Below are 8,141 nucleotides of genomic sequence, written 5' to 3'. Positions count from 1 at the left end.
AGACAGCAGTGTCACCTTTCTGGAGACCAGGGTGACCCAATCTTGGGAGCACTGGGAAGGAAGGGCAAGACTGAAGTGAGCTGGGGATTGGAGAGAGGAGTTAGGAGAAGGGGGAGATGGAGGAGAAGGGCCTGGAAGAACAGGGGGACTTAGGCAGGGAGAGAGGTGAGGGGAGATGGAATGGGAGACAAAGGAAAAAGAGGAGGGGCAGAAAGAGAGGGAGAATCTAGGGGCAGGGCATGGAAGGACGTGGGGCTGGGGGCCCCCAGGCTGTCTTGCTTTTATCCATTTATCCTAATGCACAGCTGCCTGCTGGTCTGGGCTCCCTGCCTCAGGATCATGCCCCTTCACTCTCCTGCACTTCCCCCTTCTCACTCTTTGTCCTTGTCCCAGCAGACCACAACCTGGCCCCTGCACACTCCACTGCCCTTGCTGGCTGCCCTGTTTGTGGCCCTAGCCTAGAGTCCCCCAGCTCTGGCTAGAAAGATCATTCAAAGTGACATCTGTGATGCAGACCTTAATGATGATAGATGGCAGCATGCCCTGGACTTCGCCATCAGTGAGTACAACAAGGAGAGAATGATGAACACTACAGTCACCCCGCAGGTGCTGCCAGGCCAACAGCAGGTGGGTGATGCCACCACCCAAGGGGTCCTGAGTCCCAGCCAGATTTGCCCCCTAACCCCAAGAGCATTCCCAGCAAATCAGCACTGACACATTCATGATCTAATGCTCAGACTCATTCAGCTTTCTCTGACTGTCTGTTGACAGCCTTCATGCCCTAGGACGCTCCCGGGCCATGAGTGCATGAGCTCAGCCCTGTCCTGTCCACTTGGCCTCCTTTAACCTGCATCAGCTCCTGGGTCTGTGCCATGACCGTGGCATTTCCCAGGGTCCAGCAGGTGTGGATGGAGACTATGCTGGCTCTGGGTGGGCTTGGTGCTGCTCAGGATGAGATCCAGGCCATAAGGCTCATCCTCCTCCCTGAGTCCTCTCTGCAGGGGCCACACCGGAGCCTAGCTCCTTGTCCTGCAGAGCCCTGCTTCCCTCCCAAAGTCACACCCCTGGGCACAACCCCCTAGGGCGAGTGGCCTTCACCCTCAGGCTGGCTGACCACCCCCGACAGCCCAGGGCAGCTGAGTTCCTTCTGGGGTGGAGCACGCCTGACCCTGCTTTTGCCAGCTGACATAGCATCAGACCTCAACCAGATGAGGACAGCAGTCACCCAGCATAGTGGAGGAGGGGGTCAGGTCGGGAGGGAGCTTCAGCAGGGCTACTGGTTCCATTTTGACCTGCATCCCATGGCACAGCAACAAACAGTGACACAGCCTTTGGCTCTCCTCCACCTTCCCTTGGAAATTCAGAGGAGTCCAGACCAGCCCCGTTTCTCCTCCTGCAGCTGTCAGCTGGGGCCCTCTCCCTGCACAGGAGGGGCACTCCCTGCTGCCAGGATCCCTGCTGGCCTGTACCCCTCTCTCAAGTGTGACACTCACATGGGATGATAAGGATCACTGGGCCCTGAAGCATGTTTTACAGTGAGCAAACTGACACCAGAGAGATCTCAGGACTTGCACGTGGTCCCCGGGGCTCCTTGTCTCACACTGCTTCACAGTTCTCACCATTCATGTCTGGAGGAGGCCTTGTGCAGGGAAAAGGGCTCAATTCCACTCTGCAATCACAAATATAAGACATGCAGGTGTGCTGCTCACTTTAGAAATATTGCTTCCAACAACACACTTAGAATGGAGATCCTACAGAGACAATATGTTATTGGCCTAAAACATCTGTGCATGTGAAGCCTCTCATTTCCTGCTGTATATGAAGCATAAATAAATCTAGGTTAATAGAGGGAATGAGATGCTCTATGGGCTGGATGCCAGGAGCTGGAAGTTAGCAGAAATTTCATCATCAGGTGACAGCCTTCCTAGGACAGGTCAAGTGTCCCTGGCCTCTGAGCCACAAGTAGCAGAAATCAGTTAATCCTTTGCTGTGGGAAAGAGCATTCACTTGCTGCTTAAACCCGCCCTGCAAACCTGGTGCCAGGACTGTTTCTTTGCCCCACCCTGGCTGGCTCCCCAGAGCTGTGCCTTCTATTCCTGAATCCAATGAAGGGGGTTTTAGGCCTTGGCTTCCATCTGCCCTGCCCTTGCTTCTCCTCCTACTGGGCTGCATGAGACACCTTGTTTCAGTTACTTAGAGAAAACAAGTTATCAGGGAGGCCTGGCGCCCGGGGCCACTGCCAGCCAGTGTGTATGCCTTGTGGGTGACAGTGTGGGCGGTTCAGAAAGGCAGGCATGAAGCCCCAGGCAAACCCAGTGACTCAATCACAGTGAAATGCCTGTGTGTGCACGGAACTGACAGTGTGCTTCCCATGCACCCTGCTCTTTCGTGCTTGTAGATGTGGGCTGGGTGAGCTACTTCTTTGATATGAAGATAGACCTAACCACATGCACTAAGTCTCAGCCAGACTTGGACAACTGTCTCTTCAGTGACCAGCCACAGTTGAAGGAGGTATGTGACTGATGTGGGTCAGGGATGTCAGGCAGTGCAGAGGGGTGTGAGTGGTGTGTGTGTGTGTGTGTGTGTGTGTGTGTGTGTGTCTGCTCCTGCACATGTTTTGAAGGGAATGGAGCATGAGTGCAGATGCATGAAAGCCATGCATGCATGGGTGTGCGCATGTGCCTGTGGAGATGCATGTGGGTTTGTGCACACACGTGCAGGTGCCTGTTGTGAGGGGCATGCATGTGTGTGTGAATGTGGAGTTATATGTGTACATACATGTATGTGGGGGTGGTATGCATATATGGGTGTATGTGGAATGGAGCATGTGTGTGCCCACATGTGGGAGGTACATGAGAGTGTGTGTGTATGTGGGTAGATGGATGTTTGAGGGAGTATGCATGTGGGTTCATGCATAGATCTGTGTGGGTGAGGGTTGGGGTGAGCTTATGGAGACGCCTATGTGTGTGCAGATGAGGTGGTGTGGAGACGGGTGATTAATTTGATTTGCTAAGAGGGCTTTAGCTTGGGAATGGGGGTACTGGGAGCTCCACCCTGTGTGCTTTGGGGTATTGCCTGCTGGACTGGAGGAGGGCTGGGTTCTGGTCAGAGAGAAGAGGCTCTGTCTAATCCCAGCCTCATGCACCTGCCCACAGCCACAGCCTCTCTGAGCAGATTAGAGGGAATTAAATGCCTGTTAGCAGTGAAGCCCTGGACCTGCCCCAGCTCACCCAACACCAGCTTCTCTAAGAACCCAGGATTTCTTGTGAGGTCTCTGTTCAGGGGAGAGCCACACTCTCCTTGTCATCTCCTCACTACCCTTTTGAGTTACAGTTTCCAGTTCCCTGGGTTCTTCCCTCTGGTCCCTCTTAGTGCTGGCCTGAGTGCTGGAGGTGGAAGGAGCTGGGGGCAGTGAGCCACCTCCCCCTGCCCTGCACCCTTGGGGCTCCCGAGGCCATGCACAAGCTCGGGTTGTGCTGGGGCAGGAATCCTGCAGGCTGGGGTGGGGGCCCAATGCCACCTGGTGACTTGGAGCCTTGAGAGGGGTGATGGAACAGTCACTGTGCAGTCGGGCTCAGTGCTCTGGGACTCAGCGGGGGAGGGTGAGAACCCAGTGTCTCACCTGGATCTGTCCTTGCCCCACTCTGAAATGATATACCTGGGTGTCTTCTGATTTAACTGCAACCCACACTGATTGTCCCCCTCTCTTTCCTTTCACAGAAACAGTTCTGCTCTTTCCAGATCTACGAAGTTCCCTTGAAGGACAGAATGTCCCTGGTGAAATCCAGGTGTGGGAAAGCCTAGGGGTCTGTGCAAGGCCAGCCGCACTGACCACCTCCTACTCCCACCCCCTGTAGTGCTCCCACCCGTGGACTGGTGGCCCCAACCCTGGGGGAGGTCTCCCCATGTGCCTGCACCAGGAGCCAAAAGAGAAGGCAGCAGGAGGACTTTGTTGCTCAGCAGGGGGCTCTGTCCTTGCTCCTTTTTTCTTGCTTCTCACAGCCCCCCACTTCCTGCAATTAAACAGTAGCATCGCCTCCCTCTGAGTTCTTGGCTGTCTAGGGATGTGCACACAGAAAGGTTTCCGCAGTTCCTTTATGAAACCTCCTTGTCCTGCTGGTGTGGAGATCAGAGGAGTATCTGGGAGCTGACATGGCCACAGCAAGGCTGTCAGGGGAGCTGCTGCTATAGGAGACCTGAGCCTCAGAGCAGGGAGCGAGCAGCCAGGGGCTCGGGACCCAGGCCTTCAGCTGCAGCAGCCCCTGGTGAGGGGGTCAGGGAGAGGAGTGGGCCCAGGCTGCTGCCCGCGAAGCTGGGCTGCTGTTTTGGTCTGAGCTCTTGGTCAGACCAGGAGGAGGGGGCTGGCTATATCCACAGCCAGGGGCCAGGCCTCAGTGGAGCTCGCCAGGCCGTAGATTCCATCTGTGCTTGCAGAGTTGAGCAGACTCCAGGGACTGAGCTGCTCTCATCAAATCCCCTAGACACTAAACATATAGCAATCGATGTGTGCTTCTTTCCATAGGAGATTTTAGGCCCCTACATGGAAACAAAGTCCAAAAGTGTGTGTTTGTGTGCGTGTAACTGATTGGAAGAAATGCCAACCAGACCAAGGATGGGCAAGATCACAGAGAAAGCAGCGCCTGCTGTCATCCGTTCTGGGAGGGTGCAGCCCACGCTGGGAGGCGGTGCCCTATGAAGGTTTTAATAATTCGCGCCCACAGGTCCATTATCTGGACTTGAATTGAAAACCAGTCCTCATGTCAAGCTTAATGTTAGGGATGGAAAAGTTAGAACACAAGCAGGACTGCCATGCAATGGACTCTCTTCTTTTTCCAAGGAGGTTCTATTTAATAAATAGAACACATCCTTTTCTTGTCAGCATCATCCTGTAGAATAGTGGATATTTGTGTCACAAAAATCCACTAAGATGTAGCCCGTCCTGCACAGCCCTTCCTTTTGCCATTTCAAGACAGAGGAGTGCAGCCCTCACGGCCAGTGCCTCTGGGGCAGGGCTCTCAAATATCTTCCATGCCTACAGCTGCAGTGAGGGAGGGCTGCTGCCATGAACAGTGAGGGTAAAATGCCAAAGGGAAATCTGCCCAAACAGCCCTGAGGCCAGCACCCCATATGCTACCCTAGAAAGCCAGGAGGAGAATGGTCTGACAGGGACAGTAGGAAGCATCTGCTTCCATTTGCTCTCCACCGCGATGGGATTTAACAGAATCTTTGGGATGTAGGAATGAAGCAGAGCCCAGGAGGCCATGAGCTGGGGAGATGTAAGTCTGGGCCTCAACCTTTCGGTGGAGGGTGTGCTTAGTGATTCATGCTTTTGCTGGGAGACAGGTGCAGAGGGCAGAGCAGCAGGTGGTGGTTGGTGGAAAAGTCTTCCATGCAGCGAGGTGCTCATAATTTTCCACGTGGATAAGAGATCTTTTTTCACGCAAGCAACCACCACCTAGGCACACAGTGAACAGCTGACTTCGTGTAAATCATTCCCTTTTCTGACACAATTCTTTCTTCCTTGGGGAAGTTTGGGTTGAAGTCATGGCTCTGCACAGGGCTTTCCCCACCATCTCCCTGTGTGTCTGCTCCCTTGGAGGGGAGCAGGAGGCAGGGAAACTGAGAGTGTGGAGGTGCTTCTTCTGGGCCAAGAGATGGGCAGTGAGCTGTGTCCCGAAGCCACTGGATCTTTAGAGGAGTGCAAAGAACTCCCCTGATCAGGTCATGTTCAAAATATTAACCTCTTCTAAGAGTTCTTTTAACATAAATTACACACCAAATCAGTGGTAAAACACTGAAACTGCAGAGGTTAGAAACATCTCAACCAGCATAGAGAAATCACTCTGCAAGGAGGAATGAGTGCATCGGAGGCCTGGGAAGTGTGAGACAGTGCAGCCTTTCCCTGGGCAGGTGGACGCTCGGCACAACAAGCACAGATGGATCAAGATGCTGTGAGGCCTGAGGCTCCTGTGATATAGGGGCTCCCTGCATGGAAAATAGAGCAATACTAGCAATACAAAAGAAAGCACAAAAGTTAATGTTTATTTACGAAGAGAAAACAAATTACAGCAAAATACTCATTTTTTAAAATGCTGAGATATACTACAAACATCTACAAAATCCAGAAAATAACACATATCCTAGTGCAACCAGCCACCAAAATCAGTACTGTAGTCAACACATTCAATATTGGCTTGTTGCAATAAGGGAATACAGTCACATCAAGGATCCTCAGATGACTCGACAAACAAAGGAAAAGAAGTTATCATAGGATTGGAAGGAGGGATTTTGAGGCTGGATTGATGCACTCAGAGCATGGCAGGCCTCCGTGTAAAGGAGCCAGGGTCAGGTATGGTCTGGTCTGCAAAGTGGACCTAGGTCCTGTGTCCTCAGAACCCATAAAGTCCAGCCAGATGTGGAGATTCTTTCTAGAAACCCCTTCTCTGTAGCTCTGTGCTTCTGGTTTAAGGTGGACCTAGATCCTCCAAGCAGTGGGATGTTCTTCTTACTCATAAGCAAAGTTTCTGACAGCCCTGACGCTAGAGAACAAGGTCTTCCATTGAGTCAGAAAGCAGTCATCAGCCAAGGAAGAGTCTGCTTGACTTTTCAAACCTGCAGCTTGAGAGAAAAGTTGTTTCCTGTTCATGATGCCACTGGCTTTGACCCCATCAGTCCATCCATCCACCCTGCAGATGAAAGGGCAGATTTGCCTTGCCTTAATCCACATGATTTGTATTGCCTCATATAATTTTTTTAATTAATTAGCTACTTGACACAAACACATAATAATTTCTTCCTATATTTCCTACTTAGCTAAGGAATCCCTGCTTGCCTCATCATATGACATTGATTTGGTAACAGAATTTTCTATAAATATAGCAGAAATATAAGCCACTTTTTCCACCAACAGGTTTGATCACTTGTAAAATTAATGGCATATAATGTTTCCATTCTAATTTAAGACTCGTAATTGTAATATCATGCAATTTTTTTGATTATTATCTAATTTGGAAAAGCCTCTTTTAGTTTCCTTTCATAGGTGAGCAGTAAGATTTTAGTATTTTCTAAATGTTCTTGACTTATGGCTTAGGATCTTAAAGACTATTGACAATGTCACTATCACAGCATTTTAAAACTGTCACTGTTGTAGTGAACTCCAAAATTGTGTAAATGTATCATTATGTGCTATGTTGATTAGCTCATTGAATGTGCAGGAGGAGTTTGTCCTGAAACAAGTATCTCTTCAAGCCCTCTCACCTGTTGGTCGCTATTTTATATCTGTGTTGCCTGGAGCTGCCAGAGGTCATCAGGATAAGAAGGGCAAGGAGGGAGTTTCCCATCTGTCGGGTCTGTGCCACGCACATGCATATGTTCTTGCTGTGGACAGTTTCAAAACAAAGGTCTGTGCTCTACAAATGTCAAAAATCAAGATTTCTATCAAAGTTCCCATCAAAAGTAAAAACAATTACATGGTGCACTAATTATATATATCAGATTAGTGAGTACATTTTCAACAGGAGAAAACTTCCATTTTTGACTAGGTGTCAAAAAGAAAGAGATCATCCATTCACAATTGCCCATAATTCTGCTGGGAATAATTTTCTACACAGTGGCGTCTGGCTCCACACATTGCAAACCTTGTTTCCTCTGCACTGATCACAGGCTTTCCATGTGTGGTGCTGGGAATTGTCCTGAACTAGGAACCGTCTCTGTCCCTGCTGCTTTGGGTCAAATCCTAGGCGGATGGTGGGGCCAGGCCTGGGGCCATTTTTACAACAGGGTCTCTAGAGACAACGTAACTATGCCCAGGAGTGGCTGAGAACCACAGGAGTGTGTTCCCCTCACCCCAGGTTAAATGCGTCCCAACTCAGCTTCCTCTTAGCCAGATACCAAAATGCCTGTGTCCACCCACACAGCATGCAGGAGGAGAGTGGGAAAGAGAAAGTCAGAGTAAACAAAGGCAATGCTCTTGAATAACTGCAGTTTAAATACTTGACTTTCTAAAATTGTAGAAAACATCCAGCCAAGAACACCTGTTGCTCGGCCCTGCTCAGACCCTTTTCTGGGGTTGTGAGGAGCCCTGCACTTAAATACCATTAGCTTCCTGGAAACCCCCCTCTGACAATAACATGGGCAGACTC

The 8,141-nt window shown here is 50.6% G+C and overlaps 1 pseudogene, besides 1 other annotated feature; it reads left to right on the top strand.

The window, feature by feature from the left end:
• CSTP1 (cystatin pseudogene 1) lies at window positions 406-3,804 on the top strand (annotated as a pseudogene).
• Window positions 4,102-4,893: an enhancer, noted in NCBI's record as "H3K27ac-H3K4me1 hESC enhancer chr20:23898319-23899110 (GRCh37/hg19 assembly coordinates)". NCBI's record gives its function as "activates a minimal SCP1, AML or CMV promoter by ChIP-STARR-seq in primed H9 embryonic stem cells {active_cell/tissue: H9 hESC(primed)}" and the evidence as "EXISTENCE:reporter gene assay evidence [ECO:0000049][PMID:30033119]".

This window comes from Homo sapiens, chromosome 20, assembly GCF_000001405.40.
Source record: "Homo sapiens chromosome 20, GRCh38.p14 Primary Assembly".
In the NCBI taxonomy this organism is placed as follows: Eukaryota; Metazoa; Chordata; class Mammalia; order Primates; family Hominidae; genus Homo; species Homo sapiens.
Note: the sequence above shows the minus strand (reverse complement) of the source record. Positions and strands in the feature narration are given on the sequence as shown.